The following is a 22738-nucleotide window of genomic DNA, read 5'->3' on the forward strand; positions in this document are numbered from 1 at the left end:
TTTTTGATTCATCCTTAATTCATTCACTTAGCAAACCTATTGAGCCCCTGCCCACAGCAAGCCCCGTGCTGGTGTTGGAGGACACAGAGTTGACTGAGATAGATTCCAGTCCTCAAGGCTCTCATGTTGCTGAGACAGGCCACTCATGGAGCAACCCTGGCACCTGGGACTCCTGGAGCCCCCAGTGAAACCACCTTTCTGCGATCCCAGTATCAATCCCATCAGCAGGGTCCCTTAGATCACGTCACCAGAGACAAAGCCAACGGAGGGTGGAAGCAACAGGAGCGTGGTGCAGATCCACCAGCCCCAACTCCACCTCCTGGGTTTCATCCCTCCCTTAGCACCAGCGAGGACTTCCAGATTCAGATTGTTTTTGGTCTTAAGAACTTTCTTGTCACAGCCAAGTGGCAGGCGGGACATGGTAATTGGCCTATGTTGCGCTTGGACCTAGCAAATGAGTAAACTTTTCAAGACTAAATCATCAATGCTACCCACTCTGGATCCTCCAAACACCTGCTCATTATCAGCATCTGCAATACAACAAGTACCTACCTAGGTAGTAACTAACATACATAATGGTGATTCACAAAGAGGAATGAGGGCAGTAAGAGGAAGGATCCCAGGCCTGGCCAGAAACCCCTATCCAGTAGCTCATACCAAGGGTCCAGCTAGGGATACAGGCAGAGGGAAAGAGATCAGAACCAGAAAAAGAGGAAGAGGAAAAAGAGTCAGAGTCAGAAAGGGATGGGAAGAAAGAAAAAGAAAAAAAGACAGGAGAAACCTAATAAAGGTTTGAAATGGTCCTTGGGGCCAGGTGCGGTGGCTCATGCCTATAATCCCAGCCCTTTGGGAGGCCAAGACAGGTGGACTATTTGAGCCCAGGAGTTCGAGACTAGTCTGGGCAACATGATGAAACCCTGTCTCTACAAAAGATACAAAAAGATACAGGTGGTACACACCTGTAGTCCCAGCTACTCAGGAGGCTGACAAGTGGGAGAATCGCTTAAGCCTGGGAAGTTGAGGCTGCAGTAGGTCAATATCACACCACTGCACTCTAACCTGGGTGAGAGAGCAAGACCCTGTCTCAAAAACAAAAATAATAAAAAAAAGAAAGCCGGGTGCGGTGGTTCACGCCTGTAATCCCAGCACTTTGGGAGGCCGAGGTGGACGGATCACGAGGTCGGGAGATCGAGACCATCCTGACTAACACGGTGAAACCCCGTCTCTACTAAAAAAAAATAGAAAAAATTAGCCAGGCGCCTGTAGTCCCAGCTACTTGGGAGGCTGAGGCAGGAGAATGGTGTGAACCTGGGAGGCAGAGCTTGGAGTGAGCTGAGATTGCGCCACTGCACTCCAGCCTGGGCAACAGAGCGAGACTCTGTCTCAAAAAAAAAAAAAATTAAAAAAAAAGAAAAAGAAATGCTACTTGGTGCTTCCCATGTCTTTCATTGTGGCCACAAATTCCAGCAGGTCTGCTGCCTCTTTAGGGGCCCTGTGATCCCTTCATACTGCTGATTAACACAACCTTCCAAGGAATCATCCAAGAAAGGGGCAGAAATTCTCCCTGATGCTGGGGTCAGACTGCCCAAGGCCAAGGATGCAGAGGGCTGGGGCCGAGCAGCTGGGCTCCCAAGCTGGCCTCACCCTGTGTGCTCCAGGAGGTGCTGCTGAGGCCCTGTGGGCTGAGCTGGGAGCGCCCCTGCCTGGCCGGACACCATTCCCTGCCTGACGTGGGACTTGAGTTTGGTCCTGAGCTGAGCGTGTCTATGGCCTCTGTTCCTGGTGGCACTGGGGAGGTATGTTTTAGCCGCCTCAGCTCCTGGTCCTCACAGTCCACATCTCATTTCCTGCTTCCCCTTAAAGAGGCTCACCTCTAACAGTTTTAACCAGGCATGAACGGGCCCAGCGGAGACTGGCAGGTTCTCAGACCCCCTTGATCCGAAAGGAGAAAGGAAGCAGTAAGGAGTTCACCAACTTCCTCCAAGGGCACCCCAGAGCCAGCGGGTGCCAGGGGGCACCAGGGAATCACGCTTTGGAGTCAGGTGCCTCTGGGTTTCAATCCTGGCTGAGCCACGGACTATGCAAACTCAAGAAAGTTGCATAACCTCTCTGTGGCTTTGACTTCCTTGTCTGTAAAACTGGAATAACCATCTCACCCATCTCACTCAGTTGTTTCAAAGATAAATAGAATAATCTATGCAAAGTGCCTGACACAGAGTTGGTGCTCCTTCCCAGTTCGTCACACACATCCACACCCACAACTAAGCAGGTGTTTGCTGTACTTGTGGCCCTCAGCTGAGTGCAGGTCGAGTGGGAAATGCAGGAGGAAAAGGAGCCAGTCCTTACGTCAGGGGCTAACTGAAGAAGAGTTCCAGTCCTGGCCCTGAGCCTGTGCCCAGTGTAAAGGGGATGACAGTCTTGTCTCCAGGGTCTTGCCGGCCTGAGCGCTGAGGTACTTGGCCTGGATTGCCTTGGTTTCCTCCACTGAGCCTGGGCGCCCATCTCTGCAGATAACAGAGCAGAGCCTGCATGAGTAGAGGCTGAAAGGCAAAGGTTCTCAACCCTGGCTGCACAGTAGCACCAGGAGCACTTGAAAATACAGACCAATGGGCCCACCCCAGAGTGCTGATTTACTCGGTCTGGGGTGGAGCTTGGGATTCTTCTTTCCACACCTGAGGCTCCCCTGGTGCTTCTGATGTGCAGACAGGGTTAAGAACCCCAGGGATGGAGGCCAGGCTGTGAGGCTGGGGCCCCCACTTAAACCGCTCATCAGCTATTCTGAGACTTTCTTCCTCTCTGCTGGGCCAGGAAGGTGGCTGGAGACTGAGGCCTGGGCTTTGAAGTTACTTCACCTCTCTAGGTCACTGTTCCTGCATCTTTGAGGAGGGGAAAGCAACCCAGCCCACCTCCCTCCCACCATCATCATGAGGGTCACATGAGAGAGTGCGGAAGGCCATGCTGTGTAGCATCACCCACCCCACCAGCCCAGAAGGAGAACGTGAATGCCAGGATCCCACAGCCATTTCACGCAAAAGAGTGTTTCCTCTTAGTACCTCTGTGGGCAGTGAGGAAGGGTTGAGCCCGCTGTCCTGGGACGAGCCTTTCCAGCCATGAGAGGCCAGAAAACAAACAGTCAGAATCACAACTCCACACAGAGGCCATCCCGGGCACTGCAGGGCCCTTCCAGGCTGCCCTAGCTCACTGGAGCCCAGAAGACCCTTCCTGGCAAAGACATGTAGATGCCCTTCCACCACATGGCGAAGGGAGCCACAAAGGAGACTCGGGGACACGCCCTGCTGGGAGGACGATTCTACAGAATTTTGGTGGTAGCTAACTGCTGGCTCTTCATCTCAGGAGGATAACAGAGCCCCATCCAAGGGGGACCCAGGCAGATGTTCCCCATGGGGGCATGGAGGGCTCCCTCCAGGCACCCATGGATGAGCCATCCTCACCCGTCCGGGCAGAAAAGGCCACTGAGTCAGGCATCACAACCTTCCACGCAGTGTGTTCGTTCTTTGCACAAGTATTTCCTGAATACCTATAATAGGCCAGCACCGTGCATCCTAGGAAGACCCCAGGCCTGGCCCTCCGCAGACACAGTGCCAGGCCAGCTGCGAGGCCCAGAGAGCAGCCAGAACATCCATGTGTTCCCTGCATCCCGAGTGGAACAGCCACCTGGGGAGATTCTGGGTGTGTTTCTGGGTAAAGAATATTGATTTTTAGCTTACCCACTTTGTATGTTTGGAATTTTGTCAGAAAGGTTTTTTTAAAAATATATAGAACAGTGAAAATGCCTCTTCTGGTAAATTAAATTCACTCAACAAATATGGCTCTTTCCGCTTCCAAACCAGCACAGGCTGCCCAAGCGTTTCGCCCAGCCCACCGCTTCTCCTGCTCCCATGCTGCGGGGCGCTTTACCCCAGCCCTGACCACACCTCCGAGATCTGGGCCACTGTCTTCGGCTGACCTCTCACACTAGCCTCGCCATTTCCCCCACACCTGTTCCAGCTGCCATGTTCCTCCCGAGTCCCAGAACGTGAAGCCACCAGCCAGCCAGTCAGGTGTCAGCCTTATCCCTTTTCTTGGCCTCACCCCATACCCCACCCCCATCTCGTCTCTTTTCCACCCTAGAGGCCCTGCCTGGCTCTCTTGAGTTGCCGTAGCAGCCTCTCAAGTGAGTCCTGCCTCCTTTCTTCATCCCTATCCTGGGCCAGTTTCCGTATTGGGACAAGAGCAATCTTTCTAAAATATGAACTTGAGTCAGGTTTCCCGCTGCCCCCAAAATAAAGCCCAAGCCCCGCTGGGTGGCAGACAAGGCCTCTGCGTCCGTCTCCCTTAACACTCAGCTCCCAGACAATCTCCTCTAAAAAGTCTTTCCTGACTCTCCGACTGTACGGGGAGCGCCAGGAGACCCGGGTGCCCTGTGCAAACCCCTCTCACACCACTTTCACCACTCAGTAACTCTTCTGTGTCTCCCTTGCACGAAGAACAGTTAAAATGAATGAAATGCCATGACATGCATTAACATGGATAAATTGCGAAAATATGTTGGCTGAAAGAAAGCAAATTGCACAATCATTCACTCACCATTCAAATTATTTATCAAGTGAAAGGATCCATGCGGTATGATACAATGTATATAAAATTTTCAAACGCTGAACAATAGCCGACATCACTTAGGGCCAGCTACATATGGTAGAAAAATAAAAACACATGGGGAGGATGAGCCTCCGGACAGTGGTCCCTTGGGGAACAGGACGGGGTCGGTGAAGGTACAGCTTAAACTGCATCTGTAATGCTTTATTTATTTTTATGTTAAATAGAGCTCTGAAGCAAAACTGGCAAAATAATATCCATTAAATTCGGGTGGTGGATAAATGAATATCTGTTATACTCTTTCCTGTATACTTGAAAGCATTCATCAGTACATTTTTAAAACTTTTTTTTTTTTTTGGAGACAGAGTCTCCCTCTGTCACCCAGGCTGCAGTGCAATGGCACAATCTTGGCTCACTGCAACCTCTGCCTCCCGGGTTCAAGAGATTCTCCTGCCTCAGCCTCCCCAGTAGCTGGGACTACAGGCATGCACCGCACCTGGCTAATTTTGTATTTTTCGTAGAGATGGGGTTTCACCATGTTGGCCAGGCTGGTCTCAAACTCCTGACCTCAGGTCATCCACCCATTTCAGCCTCCCAAAGTGCTGGGATTATAGACATTAGACACAGCACCCAGCCTTAAAAATTTTAACAAGGAACCAGAGTCCCAAATGCCCTCATTAAAGTCCCTGGGGTCCTGAGCAGACTGTTATAGCCCCTCACCCAAAGGATCTCCACGGGCCTTGGGCCTGGCAGCCATGCTAAGACAGGCAGGAAGGCAGCCTGGAGATGTAAATATGATTTTCATCCTTGTTTTTAACCAATGAGAAAACCAAAGCTGAGAACATCTAACATGGCTCAAGACCACACAGGGGATCCTGGATTTCAGACCATGCCTTCTTCATGTACAATTTCCTGAACTACTTCATCCAAGAGCAAGAACTTAGGTCTAATACGGCATGGTGAAGAGAATTCCAGAATTAGAAGGAGAGCTGTATTCATATGCTTCATAAATCAGTGAATAAACACGTTTTGCGGAGAATTGTTCAGAAAGGGGCAGAATTGGAGATACAACCAAATGGGAAATTTAGGGATAGCCCATGTGGCTCTTTGAATGCAAACAGAATGGGTTTGGGTTTTGTCCAATAGCAATAGAAAGCAACTGATGCTGCTTAAGCTGGAGAGTGACCGAGGCAAAGCACTGTTTTACGAAAAGTGATCTGGCTTCAGTGCATAGGAGGTGTCAGTCGCCCTTAGGAAATGGCTGGGGACAACCAAAGGGAAGATCCTCAAGGGATAAATTCTGATTTGGACATTATCTAAATGGCCCACAGAGGAAATGACATGTGCTAATCTAAGGTGAGAACTGTGGGGTTGTAAAGGATAAAAGAGCTTAAGCTAGACAGAGAAATAAAAGTTCTTTTCCAAGTTTTCCAGGCTTGGGGAAATGGTGATAGGCATTCAGATGATAAGCTGATTATTGGCTTGTTGATTAATTGGTGGAAAGGGCAGTGGGGGAAGAAAAGGCTAACTAAAGAGAGGAGTGAGAAATTGAGGGCTTTCGCTTTGTCTGCCTTTAATTCAAGATGGTGCCCAGACAGCCAGGTAGAGATCCGACAGGAGCTGGCGATATGAGAGCTATATTGAAGAAAGCTGGAGAAGCAGGGGAGAGCCACTGGTGCAGCGATGGTGGAAGTTTATTTCTGAGGAAAAAGGCACAAAAACAGTGACGTGATAGCAGAGGACTGAGCCCCGTGGCCTCCCTGCCCACATCAGGGAACAGGAAAACCAAGAAGAGAGCTAAGCCAGTGTTGTATTGTGGAAGAAGTAGGAAGAGACCATTTCAAATTAGCATAGGTGGTCAACAGTGCAAAAAGTTTCAAGAATAAGAAATGAGTCAAGGTCCTGGGGTTGAAGATCAGGAGATTATGGGAGCCTGAGATAAAGGAATCTCAGCAGACAGCAGAGGCAGGCATGCTTGCCCCATCCCTTCTACAGCTCCAAAGGAGTGACCTTGTCCTCACAGCCAAGCACAAGCCCCCTCCCTCACCCAGCAGAAGCAGCTCCCGTCTGCTACATTCAGCGTGAGATGGACCTGTGCCTGGCCTGGCCCAACTGATCCACCTCCCACAGATGGCAGAGGGCCATGGCAGGACAGAGAGTGTGCAGTGCAGGCTCTGGAGTGGAACCCTGTAGAGACCAGGCTACCGTCTTCCTAGATAACCAAAAAGCTTCAGCTTGGAGAGGCATGAGTTCATTTCTAAATGCAGAACATAGGATTCAAATGTGCCACATGTCACTTTATTTTCTAAAATGTATTTTCTCTATATTTGCCTGACTTCTATGGCAATAAAATCATTTTGGCATGACACTCATCTTACATAAATGAAAATATGAGCCAACAGAATGGCATTTTAGTAGCTTTAAGCCAAACAAATTCCTGAGAGGGTCTTGTTTAAATTAAGTTATCGTGCTATTTAGCTTTTTACAGTGAAGAAGCTCTGTGTCTTCAGAGAGCCTTGTGCAGTGATGCTTGTTTTTGGAAGGATGGGACAGGAGGTGAAGAAAGGAAGAGGGGCCCAGGCTGCCAGGCTGCAGATCAAGAAGTCAGGAGGTGAGGAAATGAGGACGATGAGAAGGACCCACTGTTATTGGAAGTTTGGAGATGAAATGAGAGACAAGACATAGAGTGAGGGTGACAGGGGAAGACAACTTGAGACGGAAGGACACAGTGGAGGGAGGGGTGTGCCAGGGGAAAGCATCTGACGAATGACACTCTGCACCTGAGTATGAGGCTGCCAGCCCCTTTGCCCACCTCCACTCTGCTCCCCGAACTGATGCAGCCGGGCATGTCCCTGGCAGGAGATGAGAGAATTCTTCTCTGGAGAATACGAACTATACCAGAGAAAGACCTGCAGAAACGAACATTTGGGGGACTTCCAATGAAACAACGCAGTTTGCCACCAATCACCCTACTGTGATGCCCACCTGTCACAACTGCCACCCACTTGGGTTGTGGATGGAACTCCCGATCAGCTCTGTGGTGCCTCATTACCAACAATGGATGGACAGCGACTACCAGACATTTGGAGAAAGCTGGCAGCATCTGACAGGGAGAGCAGAACAAGATTGTAGAAAAAGAAATCTGGAAAAGAAAATAGGGAAAATAGAAAGCAAAAACAGGGAAAGATTATAGACAATTCAAAGAAAAAAATACAAGTGGGAATAAAATACAAAAAAAAATCCTCATTAATGATTCAAGAAAAGCAAATTAAAAGAAAAAGATTACATTTTTTTGCCCATCACATGACAGAAACTTGAAAAATTGAGCCTCTTCAATATTTTCCAAGGTATGGGGAATCAGTAACTCTTAGCTACTGTTAGTGATCGTTCAGAATGCAACAACTTTATTGGAAGGCAATCTGGTAGAACCTAACAAAATTTTTAAAGTGTTTGACCTTTGTCCTGTGAATTCTATTTATAAGCAATGATCCTGCAGAAATTAGCTCAAACTTTTGTGCAGGATGTACACATCAGCAATATTTATGATAGCAACAAACTGGAAAAATCTAAATACTCATCAGTAAGCTAATCTTTAAATATAAAGTATTTTAAATCTCTAATATGGAATGCTATGTGGGTGTTTTAAAAGAATGAGGACATCCTAAATGTACTGACATTGAAGGATATCCATGATATGTTAAAGAGTGGGGAGTAGCAAAACAATGTGGAATTTAATTACACTTTTACAAAGAGCTGTGCTGTGTGTGTTTATGTACATGCACATGTGCATGTGAGCTTGTGCATGTATACAAAATAGACTGGGGGCCGGGCGTGGTGGCTCACGCCTGTAATCCCAGCACTTTGGGAGGCTGAGGCGGGCAGATCACGAGGTCAGGAGATGGAGACCATCCTGGCTAACACGGTGAAATCCCGTCTCTACTAAAAATACAAAAAAATTAGCCGAGCATGGTGGCGGGCGCCTGTAGTCCCAGCTACTCAGGAGGCTGAGGCAGGAGAATGGCGTGAACCTGGGAGGCAGAGCTTGCAGTGAGCCGAGATCACGCCACTGCACTCCAGCCTGGGTGACAGAGCGAGACTCCGTCTCAAACAAAAAAAGAAAGAAAGAAAGAAAATAGACTGAGAAGCTATGTGCCGATCTCCCTCTGGGGAGTAGGAGTGGGAAAATGGAGTGAAGGGAAGAAACTTTCACTTGTCACTTGATAAATTTCAGGATATTTTATATTTTTATGAAACAAAGACATTGATTTTGTCTTTAAAATAAAAATAAAGAGAAAAATATAGTTTGACTTAAGTGTATTTATAACTGTTTTCTGATTTTAAAATTAACTATTGTGGTTTTTAAATGTGACTTCAAATTCTTTGACACTTCTCCATTGAAAGATATCATCTCACACCAGTTAGAATGGCAATCATTAAAAAGTCAGGCAACAACAGGTGCTGGAGAGGATGTGGAGAAATAGGAACACTTTTACACTGTTGGTGGGACTGTAAACTAGTTCAACCATTGTGGAAGTCAGTGTGGCGATTCCTCAGGGATCTAGAACTAGAAATACCATTTGACCCAGCCATCCCATTACTGGGTATATACCCAAAGGACTATAAATCATGCTGCTATAAAGACACATGCACACATATGTTTATTGCGGCACTATTCACAATAGCAAAGACTTGGAACCAACCCAAATGTCCAACAATGATAGACTGGATTAAGAAAATGTGGCACATATACGCCATGGAATACTATGCAGCCATAAAAAATGATGAGTTCATGTCCTTTGTAGGGACATGGATGAAATTGGAAACCATCATTCTCAGTAAACTATCGCAAGAACAAAAAACCAAACACCGCATATTCTCACTCATAGGTGGGAATTGAACAATGAGATCACATGGACACAGGAAGGGGAATATCACACTCTGGGGACTGTGGTGGGGTCGGGGGAGGGGGGAGGGATAGCATTGGGAGATATACCTAATGCTAGATGACACGTTAGTGGGTGCAGCGCACCAACATGGCACATGTATACATATGTAACTAACCTGCACAATGTGCACATGTACCCTAAAACTTAGAGTATAATAAAAAAAAAAAAATTAAAAAAAAAAAAAGAAAATTAAAAAGTAAAAAAAAAAAAAAAAAGAAAAGAAAAGGTGAAAATTAGGCCGGGCATGGTGGCTCAAGCCTGTAATCCCAGCACTTTGGGAGACAGAGGCAGGCGGATCACCTGAGTTCAGGAGTTCAAGTCCAGCCTGGCCAACATGGTGATACCCTGTCTCTACTAAAAATATAAAAATTAGCCAGACATGATGGCAAGTGCCTGTAATCTCAGCTACTCAGGAGGCTGAGGCAGGAGAATCACTTGAACCCGGGAGGTGGCAGTTGCAGTGAGCTGAGATCCCGCCACTGCACTCCGGCCTGGGTGACAAGCACAAAACTCCTTCTTAAAAAAAAAAAAAATTCATCTTCTCTGTTCTCTCTCTCTCTCCCTCTCCCTCTTTCTCTCTCTCTCCCTGTCTGTCTCTCTCTGATTGTTTGCTCTGGGAGAAGTCAGTTACCCCTTGTCTTAAGGATACTAAAACAGCTCTCAGGAAAGAACCACATGGACCACTGAGGCCTCCTAACAAGAAGAAATACCAACTTGCCAGTGAGATCCTCCAGCCCCAATTAAGCCTTCAGATGACCACAGACCCTGAGGACATCTGACTGAACCTCACCAGAGACTCTGATCCAGGGCCGCCAGCCAAGTCACACCCAAATTACTGGCTTACAGAAAAGGCCAGAGATAACAAATGTTTATTGTTATCTTATGCCACTAAATGTTGGGGTAATTTGTTTGACAATAATAGATAACTAATACGTGGACCAATCTCCCTCTGGAAAGAAGTGGAGAAACTGAGTGAAGGAGGAGACTTTCATTCTTTACTTTACTTTTTACATTTTTACATTATACATTTCAGGATTGTTTGGAATTGTTTCGTTGTTTATATTTAAAGAAATGGGAAGAAATAAAGTTAGGCTTAAGTGTACTTTAAAAAAACTTTTTTTCTGATTTTAAGAGTAACACTGGTCAGGCGCAGTGGCTCACACCTGTAATCACAGCACTTTGGGAGGCCAAGGCAGATGGATCACCTGAAGTCAGGAGTTCGAGACCAGCCTTGCCAACATAGTGAAACACTGTCTCTACCAAAAATACAAAAATTAGCCAGGTGTGGTGGTGCATGCCTGTAATCCCAGCTACTCGGGAGGCTGAGGCAGGAGAATTGCTTGAACCCAAGAGATGGAGGTTGTAGTGAGCCAAGATTGCACCACTGTACTCCAGCCTGGGCAACAAGGGTGAAACTCCATCTCAAAAAAACAAACAAACAAAGAAACCACTGGTGAAAAGGGACAAAGTTGGAGGATAGATGCTAACCAACTTTAAGACTTACTATAAAGCTGTAGTAATCAAGACGGTATGGTATTGGAGACAGAATAGACAAACAGAGCAATGGAACAGAAAAGAGAACCCAGAAACACACAAATACAGTCAACTGATATTTGACAAAGGCACAAAAGCAACTCAATGGAGACAGGAGAGTCTTTTCAACAACTGGTGCTGGAACAACTTGATATTCATGAGCCAAAAAAAAAAAAAAAAAAAAAAACCAAAATAACCTGGACACTCATCTTACACCCTTCACAAAATATTAACTCAATCTGGATCATAGACCTAAATGTCAAACAAAACTTCTAGAATGAGAAAATCTAGGAGTTTGGCAAAGAGATTTTAGGTACAGCACCCAAGGACCCAAGGCATGATCCACGGAAAAACACTGATAAGATAGACTCCATTACAGTTTAAAACTTCTGCTCTGCAAAAGACACTGTTAAAAGAATGAAAGAACCAACCACAGACTGGGGAGAAAAAATTTGCAAAACACACATCTGATAAAGGGTTTGAATCCAAAATATACAAAGCACTCTTAAAACTCAACAGTGGCCGGGCGCAGTGGCTCACGCCTATAATCCCAGCACTTTGGGAGGCTGAGGCGGGTGGATCTCTTGAGGCCAGGAGTTCAAGAACAGCCTGGCCAACATGGTGAAACCCCATCTCTGATAAAAATACAAAAAATTAGTCGGGCGTGGTGGTGCATGCCTGTAATCCCAGCAACTTGGGAGGCTGAGGCATAAGAATTGCTTAAACCCGGGAGGCAGAGGTTGCAGTGAGCCAAGATCGTGCCACTGCACTCCAGCCTGGGTGACAGAACAAGACCCTGTCTCAAAACAGAACAAAACAACTCAATGATAGGAAAACAAACAAACAAACAAAAAAACACAAGTTTTTTAAAAGGGCAAAAGATCTTGACAAACACTTCACCAAAGGTGATATACAGATGGCAAATAAGCATACAAAAACACGTTCAATATCATACGTCATTAGAGAATCGCAAATTAAAACAATGATGAGATATTACTATGCATCTACTAGAATTACTAAAAAACAAAAACAAAAAAACTGACAATACCAAATGCTGATGAGGATGTGGAGCAACAGGAACTCTCATTCATTGTTGGTGGGAATGCAAAATGGTACAGCCACTTTAGAAGACAGTTTGGCAGTTTCTTACAAACATAGTCTTACCACATGCTCCAACAATGATGCATCTAGGTATTTATCCAAATGAATGAAAAATGTATCCTCACAAAAACCTGAACATGGATGTTTATATCAGTTTTATTAATAATTGCCAAAAACTGGAGGCAACCAAGATGTCCTTCAGTAGGTGAATGGACAAACAGTGCTACATCCAGTTTCTTTTTATTCAGTGATAAAAAGAAATGAGTTATCAAGCCAGAAAAAGACATGGAGGAATCTTAAGTGCATATTACTAGTGAAAGAAGCCAAGCTGAAAATGCTACATACTGTATGGTTCCAACTATACAGCATTCTGGAAAAGGCAAAACTATGGAAACAGTAAAAAGATCAGTGGTTGCCAGGAGTTGGGGAGCATTAAAAGGCAAAGCACAGGGAATTTTTAGGGCAGTGAAACTCATCTGTATGATGCTGTAATGCTGCATACGTAACATTGTACATTGTCAAAATCCATAGAATGTATAATACTGAGTGAACCCTAAACTATTAGCAATAACATATCAATATTGGTTCATCACTTCCAGTAAATGTACCACATTAACACAGGATATTAATAATAGGGGAAACTGTGGTGGGGGAGAGAGAAAAGGGGTATGTGGGAACTTTTGTACTATCTGCTTAATTTTCCATAAACCTAAAACTGCTCTAAAAGTGAATTAATTTTTTTTAAAAAAGTAACACTGGTCATTTGAAGGAAAAGTAGAAATAAGATAATTTAGCCACATATAATCTCAACAGAAAGATAGTTGCTATTATGCATAGTTCCTTCCAGTCTTTTTTTCAAATGTCTATGTATATGTCCTCATTTTTTAAGAGTTGAAATCACTCTGTTAAATTCATTTTGAAGGTTTATAGTTTGGTTTCAGTTTGGATTTTTAACCACAAAGAAAATATCCCATATGAAACATCAGTGATACCAAAAACAGATTCTTGAGGAGCCAGTTGCTATGGGAATGATTGAAAATAAATTTCATCTCACACTACACTCTACTAATGTATTGACCAGAAGGAAGGAAAAATATTTGGAGTAACTTAGAAGAGCAGCCAAGAACTTCTAATCAAGAAGAAGGAAAATACATCAGGCTAGTGTGAGGTTTCAAAGAAGCCAGTAGCACGGCCTTGCAATTTCACTAATTGAGCTCTTCCAGCAACCGTGTCACTGGAGGGGGAAGTACAAGGAATCAGGGACCTGAGTGGACTCTGTCTTTCCTTCACTGACAGTTTGATGAGCCAAAGGCCAGCAAGTCTCCCTCCATATGCGGGCCATCTCTGCAGGGTGGTACATGGCCAGGAAAAAAAAAAAAAAATCACTGTTTCCTTCCTGGAGATGCGTCAAATATTTAGCAAGCTGCAAAGCCTGGGCTCCAGGTGATCAGTATGGACATCACATTGGCCCTGAGCATTAGAGTGGGCCCTGGGGTTAACCCTTTAGGTGCCGGATCGTTGGGGCATCTGAAGGTTCCTGGAGAGGGACTAGGATGCCAGAGGGTAGGGGATACTCAGGGAGTTCAGGGGAGTGACAGTTTTCCAACAGAAGATTTTAACATGCTCAGAAGTAGTAAGGCCAGATCAGTGGATGCCAACCGAATGCTGACCTTCCCACAACCAACATTTTTCTAAAAGGCAGGACTGTGTAGGTGCACATCCGGGCTGGCCTCCAAGGGGAAAAGCAGAGTTGCTGTCACAAAAAGACAGCATATCATCGTGCAAAAACAGGCCCCACTTCTCACCTCAGGCAACAGCTTTAGCATCAAACAGATCTCGCTAAATAATTTTTTTTGTATTTAGTAGAGACAGGGTTTCACCATGTTGGTCAGGCTGGTCTCAAACTCCTGACTTCAGGTGATCCACCTGTCTCGGCCTCCCAAAGGGCTGGGAATACAGGCATGAGCCACTGTGCCTGGCCTGGTTTTTTTAATAGCAAGAAAATAAAAGGACACATAGGCATGGGCAAGGACTTCATGTCTAAAACACCAAAAGCAATGGCAACAAAAGCCAAAATTGACAAATGGGATACAATTAAACTAAAGGCTTCTGCACAGCAAAAGAAACCACCATCAGAGTGAACAGGCAACCTACACAATGGGAGAAAATTTTTGCAACCTACTCATCTGACAAAGGGCTAATATCCAGAATCTACAATGAACTCAAACAAATGTACAAGAAAAAAACAAACAACCCTATCAAAAAGGGGGCAAAGGATATGAACAGACACTTCTCAAAAGAAGACATTTATGCAGCCAAAAGACACATGAAAAAATGCTCATCATCACTGGCCATCAGAGAAATGCAAATCAAAACCACAATGAGATACCATCTCACACCAGTTAGAATGGCAATCATTAAAAAGTCAGGAAACAACAGGTGCTAGAGAGGATGTGCAGAAATAGGAACACTTTTACACTGTTGGTGGGACTGTAAACTAGTTCAACCATTGTGGAAGTCGGTGTGGCGATTCCTCACGGATCTAGAACTAGAAATACCATTTGACCCAGCCATCCCATTACTGGGTATATACCCAAAGGATTATAAATCATGCTGCTATAAAGACACATGCACACGTATGTTTATTGCGGCACTGTTCACAATAGCAAAGACTTGGAACCAACCCAAATGTCCAACAATGATAGACTGGATTAAGAAAATGTGGCACATATACACCATGAAATACTATGCAGCCATAAAAAAGGATGAGTTCATGTCCTTTGTAGGGACATGGATGAAGCTGGAAACCATCATTCTCAGCAAACTATCGCAAGGACAAAAAACCAAACACCGCATGTTCTCACTCATAGGTGGGAATTGAACAATGAGAACAAATGGACACAGGAAGGGGAACATCACACACCAGGGACTGTTGTGGGGTGGGGGGAGGGGGGAGGATTGCATTAGGAGATATACCTAATGTAAATGACGAGTTAATGGGAGCAGCACACCAACATGGCACATGTACACATATGTAACAAACCTGCATGTTGTGCACATGTTATCCTAAAACTTAAAGTATAATAATAATAAATAAATAAATATACATTAAAAAAAGAAAATAAAAGGACACATAGAAAATGTGCTAGGCGATGTCTGTGTGAAGAGGAGCTTCTAGCCTCATGAAGCTGCTCCAAGACACACCTGCTCACCTGATCCAGGAACAGCTCACACCAATTGTAGGTAAAGCCTATGGGGGTTAGGGGGAGATGGGGTGGGCAAACTCACACCTACAAACATCTCTAAAGCAGTGAAGATCCATAAGGCCACATACTGGACTCTGAAAGGCTTACCTGGGTCCAGGTGGGTGAAAGAACCCACCACAAAGTCCAGTGTGGACACGGCCAGCAGGAACAGCAACAGCAGCTGGAGGCGGATTATCCATTTGACACCTGCGAGGTTAATGCCCAGCAAGGCCAGAAGCACCGCAACTGAAATTCCTCGCACAGCCCAGATATTCCCGAGGCCCAGCAAATCCGAGATGGATTCAGCAAAGCCGGTGATATACATGGCACCTGCAACACACTGACATGCGATTCCAGGTAGAAGAGTCAGCAGGACAGAAAGCCATGGGCCCATGGGCAGAACCGCCCAGCGCTGAGAACCCTGCACCCCCATCGGACACACTCACTGGCACCAAGGCACAGTGCCTGGGACCAGTGCAGGGTTAAACCAGCCCTTCCCACCCGTGAACCTGCCTCAGGCCCCATTTCTACTTGTCTACATCTCAACTAAAGAATGAAGGAGGAACCCAAGCTGAGAGCTGGCTGTCAGTGATAACAAAGATGAAAAGACTATGGGAGGAAGAAGATGGGACACTGGGCTAAAGAGGCCTCCGGATTTCTCAGTCCGAGTTATTCAAGAACTAAATATAGAACAAGAACACACAGGGGGTCCCATCTACAGAGCCTTAAAAGGACACTGCAGTAAACCAGATTTTTCTTCATTTCTCTATAGGTCAGTATTATTTTTAAAATTATCTAAAACTTAGCAAAAAAAAAAGTGAGTGGCACGTCTTTTTCAACGTCATATGTGGCAAAGGCTACCCAAGGACTATCTAGGTGAATGTACTTCATTTTACTCACTATTTGCTGTTGATTAAATGCATTATATGCCCCAGATTTAATAAAGTTACATGTTACCTTATGGATTTTTTTCCAGTACAGATGCAAATAACTTCTGTCCAGTGGAACATATAACCCAAAAGATTAGGATTTGTTGTCCTGTAAGACATTAACTGATTTTCTATCTAACCCAGCAATCTTATCCTAACATTTATTTATTCAACTGCCTAGTTATGAATTTACTAATCTGACCTCTGTCCACCCAGCATCCTTTGCAGATGCTCTTTAACATCTTACTGGCTCCTCCATTAATTCATAAATTAAATAAAATCCCTGCTCCAGGTTAGGCTTCCTATGAGTATTTGTTATATAATCTTTTTTTAAAAAAATGAAATGAAATCCTTGGCACATGTTTTTCTTATATTTGCCTGAGAATCATGATTTTATCTTTTGGGAAATATTTGAAAGATCATTTCAAATTAAATTGTTGAAAATAACATCAGTCTCACTTTTCCTAATTCCTCAGCCTCAGCCTTCTTCTCTCCTCAGGTTTGTCCTTCACTGCCCCCAGGGCCAGCTGGTCACTCTAATCACTGTAGCCCTGCCCTTGCCATTCTCTGGGAACAAATTCTATTAGGGCCTCATTCGTTCAAGTCCCTCCTTTTCCATGAGGCCTCTCCTCAACCTCTTTTTCTGAATAAATAGTAAGCTAACTGCTAAGGCCATACAATTAATTATCTGGTTCCATATTCTATTATCATGTCATGAACGTAAGTTTGTCTCCCCACCCCACCACCAAGAATGCAAATATCTTAAAAAATTGTTTATGCTGATTGTACCTCTTCAAATACTTGCATTTGCTAAGTATGTTGCAAGCATTCAATAAATACTTTGTGATATGCTGATCATATAAAAGGTGCTCTGGGAAGCAGGCTCCATGAGTTCCAGCCATTTTGTGTAAAGGCAAAAGGGTAATACAACTTCTGGATTTGAAAGGAGCTTGTGAACAAGGCCCCATTCTTCAATGAGATCAGCTCACTTTGCAACTAGGCACATATCATGTTTGTCAGCATCCCCCAAATTTACACTTAGCTTAACAGTTATTCCAGCATCCCATAGTGGTAAACATTTCTGTCCATATTAGGATGAGGTGGAAAGCCCAAGAAATGTGAGGGAAATACAATCATTTCTGAGAGAGAGAGAGAGAGAGAGAGAGAGAAAGAGAAAGACAGAGAGACTAATGTTTTCCTGCATTCATCTCAGAACTCAAACTTCCTCTTTACTAAACACCAAGAGTGTGATGTGTGATAGTGACGTTATTTCATCAGTATTTGGCCAGGTCAACAGGACTCTTCATGGTCAAAATTATCTGAGCAAAATAAAAGTAAATAAAATAAATGACAAAAATGTAGCAATGGATACCATTTATATGGGCACCACTTTCCCAGGTACCTGATGTCTCTGACATGCAGAGGATGATGCCATGGGACCATCTGCATCCAAAGCTTCCAAACTGTTTTTTTTTTCCTAGCAGTAGAACAATTTGCTCACGCAATGTGAGCCAAGCTGTAAATGCTGCCTTTTGTTCCCAGTAACTCCAGTGGATCTCATCCTTCTGGTTTGTATCTAAAATTGCTTTTTAGCCCAAAGATGCCAGCAACAGGGGATGGGGCAGGGTAGGGGGTGGGGGAAGCTCCTCAGGAGGCTTGTAAGGGCATGGTGGTTAGGAGCATGAATTGCGAAGCCAAAATATCTAAGGCCAAATCCTGGCTGACTTGGGAAAGTGTTTTAACCCCTCCGTGAAATACAGATAATGATAGTAACCTTCAAAAGGTTACTGTGAGAACTAAATGAGATGATTTATGTAAAGACCTAGAACAATATCTGGCTCATAGAGTTGTAGAAACAATAGCTACCACCTGTAATCCCAGCACTTTGGGAGGCCAAGGAGAGCAGATCACTTAAGGCCAGAAGTCTGAGACTAGCCTGGGCAACATGGTGAAACTCCATCTCTACTAAAAATAAAAATAAGCCAGGCACGGTGGTGTGCACCTGTAGTCCCAGCTGCTTGAGAGGCTGAGGCAGGAAAATCCCTTGAACCCGGGAGACAGAGGTTGCAGTGAGCTGAGATCACGCCACCGCACTCCAGCCTGGGCAGAAAATAATAATAATAATAATAGCTACCGTCATTATTATGACTTTGTTATTATTCGCTGCTGAAGAAGAGGAAACAGTAGCTAGCTATGAATATCATAAGATACTTTGTTGATGCTAAATAGATGATGGTACCATCACTGGAAATTTGCAATATAAGTTGTAAATAAGGATGCTTGAAACCAAAGAGACTTACTTTAAGGAAAGCAATTAACAGTCCAAAATTAAACCGTCTTCTCACAATGAGTCTGGGGGTAGAAGTGGGGGTGTTTATGGAGAGTAGGAAAGTAAATGTATCATAGAAGTTTAATATTTTGTTGGTAGAGGAGCTAGTAAATAATGTGTCTTGGTTGAGAAGTGTAGAAAATTATGATAGAAAAGGATAAGTTTAATTATGACTTCTGAGGGTAGACTGTCACTACTAGAAGAACTAAAAGCATAGTAGAACTTCCAAATCAACCAAAATGCAATAGAAAAATAACTGACACATGTTGCCAAAGTCAAAAGAAATGAAAAATAAAATTTTATATTTTTTACAAAGTAATGAAAACGAGAATGTTTTATTCAAAAACTCAAGAGGCATAACTAAACTTGGGTTCAGAAGAGAAAAATGTATAGTCTTAAATGATTTTATTAGTTAAAAAGAAAAATAGGCCAGGCGCGGTGGCTCACGCCTGTAATCCCAGCACTTTGGGAGGCCGAGGCGGGTGGATCATGAGGTCAGGAGATCGAGACCATCCTGGCTAACAAGGTGAAACCCCGTCTCTACTAAAAATACAAAAAATTAGCCGGGCGCGGTGGCGGGCGCCTGTAGTCCCAGCTACTCGGGAGGCTGAGGCAGGAGAATGGCGTGAACCCGGGAAGCGGAGCTTGCAGTGAGCCGAGATTGCGCCACTGCAGTCCGCAGTCCGGCCTGGGCGACAGAGCGAGACTCCGTCTCAAAAAAAAAAAAAAAAAAAAGAAAAATAAAGGAACGAAGAATTAACTTCAGTCACAAAAATATCAACATAAATAAAAAGATAATAGAGAGAAGTATTTTATATAAAGAAATATGAAATTAATGAAATAGAAGAAAAAATAACAAAAGAAAAATACAAGAAACAAAAGCTGATCTTTTAAAAAAAAATTAAATAGATAAGCCTCTGGTAGCCTGATTACAAAGAAAAGAGAAAATGCAAAAATATAGACTATTAGGAAAAAAACTACATATACAGAGGAGAGTAAAGAATGAATAGAGGGCCAGGCCCAGTGGCTCATGCCTGTAATCTCTGCACTTTGGGAGACCAAGGTGAGAGGATCACTTGAGTCCAGGAGTTCAAGACCAGCCTGGGCAACATGGCAAAACCTTGTCTCTACAAAAAAATACAAGGCTGGGTGCCGGGTGCAGTGGTTTACGCCTATAATCCCAGCACTTTGGGACACCAAAGTGGGAGGATTGCTTAAGCCCAGAAGTTCAAGACCAGCCTGGGTAACATGTCAAAACTTTGTCTCTACAAAAATAATTTAAAAATTAGCTGAGCATAGTGGTGCACGCCTGTAGTCTCACCTACTTGGGAGGCTGAGGTGGGAGGATCACTGGAGCCCAGGAGTGCCAGGCTGCAGTGAGCTGTGATGGCGTCACTGCACTCCACCCTAGGCAACAGACTGAGACCCTGTCTCAAAAAAAATTAAAAAAAGAATGAATGGAGAATAGAAATGAGCCATAAATTATGGTATATTTATACTATACGATATTAAGTAACCATTTAAAAAGCATTGGTTTAAAACATTGACCAAGAGATATATCTATTACTTAAAGTGAGAACTACAAGCCATGGAATAATGTATGAAATTTGTCCCCATTTTTTTTTTTTTTTTGAGACAGAGTCTTGCTCTGTCGCCTAGGCTATAGTGCAGCGGCGTGATCTCAGTTCACTGCAACCTCTGCCTCCTGGGTTCAAGTGATTCTCCTGCCTCAGACTCCCGAGTAGCCGGGACTACAGGTGTGCATCACCACGCCTGGTTAATTTTTTGTATTTTTAGTAGGGACAGGGTTTCACCATATCGGTCAGGCTGGTCTCGAACTCCTGACCTCATGATCCACCCGCCTTGGCCTCCCAAAGTTCTGGGATTACAGGCGTGAGCCACCGCGCCTGGCCTTGGCCTTGTCCCCATTTTTGTAAAAACAAGCAAGCACTTCAAAAATCCATAAATACATGTGTATAAGCCGAGGGAAATGTTCCAAAAGAGAACACTGGGATCACCTCAAGGGTGTGGGGGAAAGCTCTTTATTTTCATTGTCTCCAATGTGTTAACTGACTACAATGAATATCATTATGTAACTGTCAAAGAATTTTATTAAAAAATACAAGCAAACATATTAAAAGTACCCTTATGTTTACGCAAAAACTAAATCAGGGTATATCATCACCCTGTCTGCCCAGGTTTAGGGAAGCAGCCCAGGACTCAAGGCCTTCGTCCACACACTCAGCAACTGCCCAGCCTTCCCTAGAGCAATCCAGCCACCCCAGAGGCGGTACCCCTTCCAACCTGAATGCTGCTTTTCCTTGGAAAACATTCCTGGTGGTTTGTTTAATGTGTAAATGTCTTAAGGGTTTGTTATACGTTAAACGTATTCTATTTCCTCCTAAATCTTAGACCAGGCATTCCTTTTCTTTTTCATTCTCCACAGAGAAAAGCCTAATTCCTTCTCACAAGACACAGTGGGTGTTGCTCACCATTTTAAAGAGAGAAGGTGGCCTATTTTCAGGGTGTAATGCTTCCATTCCAAGGTAATTCTTTTAGCAAAATTGCACCTTGACAATCACAGGCATTTTCCTTCCACCTTACCTGGAGGACCAGCGCTGCCCCTCAACACCCCTCCCCTTCTGACACAAACTTCCAGGTTTAAGGTTAAAGAGTTGGTGGATTAACACATATGTCCTGAATATGCGTTAACACCCATAACAAAAACTCCAGGCCTATATCAGGTCCATAAAAACTTTCCAGTCATTCATTGTTTTTATACAGAGTCCAGCACAAAGCATGTGAGCCACTAATGAACGTTCTTCCACGTGTCAGCACAGGCTGAAGCTAGACATTTTGGTGTTCAGGGTAAACAGTCACCAAGAACCCTCAGGCCCACACAGGTAAGTGGAGCAGGGAGTGAGGGGAGTCTGTAGTCCATCGTCTCCTCCCCTGACAAAGAGTTTGGTCCCACAGAGCAGGCCCTGCCACCAAGGCCTGAGAGGGATGAAGGGGGAAGGGTTTTGTAGGATGCAGGGCAATGACGAGCCTTTGCAAGCTTTTGTTTTACTTTTTATTATTATTATTATTATTATTTTGAAATGGAGTATCGCTCTGTCACCCAGGCTGGAGTGCAGTGGCGCATTCTCAGCTAACTGCAACCTCTGCCTCCCAGGTTCAAGCAATTCTCCTGCCTCAGCCTCCCAAGCAGCTGGGATTACAGACGTGCGCCACCACGCCTGGCTAATTTTTGTATTTAGTAGAGACAGGGTTTCACTATGTTGGTCAAGCTGGTCTCGAACTCCTGACCTCAGGTGATCCACCTGCCTTGACCTCCCAAAGTGCTGGGATTACAGGCGTGAGCAACCACGCCCGACCTGCAAGCTTTTAAAATCATTACTTTAAGTGTTAATATCTCCTCAGTTTTGATGCTCTAGGGAAGGGATTGACAAACTGGCTCACTGGCCAAATCCTTTTTGCTGATTATTTTGGTAAATAAAGTTTTATTGGGACACAACTATACCCGTTTTTTGTAAGCCATTTATCTGTGGCTGCATTCACACTACAGTGGCAGGGTTGAGTAGTTGTGACAGAGCCATATGACCCTCAAAACCCAAAATATTTATGATCTGGCCCTTTATAGAAGTTTGCTGACCCCTGCTTGGGGGTAAAATCAGGGAATCTGTTTTGACAATCATTAGAAATAAATGAATGCACACATGCCCTGGAATGAGGGCTGAGGGAGTTAATAAGAACAAGGAATAGGGAGCCTCAAAACCCCAACCGCACCCTAGAGGAAGGAGGAGCTCAAATCAATAACCCAACCTGTCACCTTAAGAAACTAGGGAAAGATGAGCAAAGTGAACCCAAGCAAGCAGAAGAAGGAATCAATAAAGGTCAGAGCAGAAATGAATTAGGGATCAGAAAAACAATAGAGAAAATCACCAAAACCAATAATTAGTTCTTTGTAAACACACCTTTATCTAAGCTGATCAAGAAAAAAGAAAGAGAAGACATTATTTAAATTAGGAATGAAAGGGGAGACATTACCACCAAACT

The 22738-nt window shown here is 44.3% G+C and overlaps 1 protein-coding gene across 2 annotated transcripts in view, besides 1 other annotated feature; it reads right to left on the reverse strand.

Moving 5' to 3' along the window:
- The window catches only part of SLC12A8 (solute carrier family 12 member 8), a 130105-nt gene that overhangs the window by 79570 nt on the left and 27797 nt on the right, over positions 1–22738 (reverse strand). For both annotated transcript variants that reach the window (NM_024628.6, NM_001195483.2), the window contains one exon: positions 15530–15761. In NM_024628.6, the coding sequence (NP_078904.4) occupies positions 15530–15761 (232 nt within the window). The remainder of the gene's footprint in view (positions 1–15529; positions 15762–22738) is intronic.
- Positions 2169–2238: an enhancer, noted in NCBI's record as "active region_20426". NCBI's record gives its function as "activates an Ori minimal core promoter by ATAC-STARR-seq in GM12878 lymphoblastoid cells {active_cell/tissue: GM12878}" and the evidence as "EXISTENCE:reporter gene assay evidence [ECO:0000049][PMID:35858748]".

Source organism: Homo sapiens, chromosome 3, assembly GCF_000001405.40.
Source record: "Homo sapiens chromosome 3, GRCh38.p14 Primary Assembly".
NCBI lineage: Eukaryota > Metazoa > Chordata > Mammalia > Primates > Hominidae > Homo > Homo sapiens.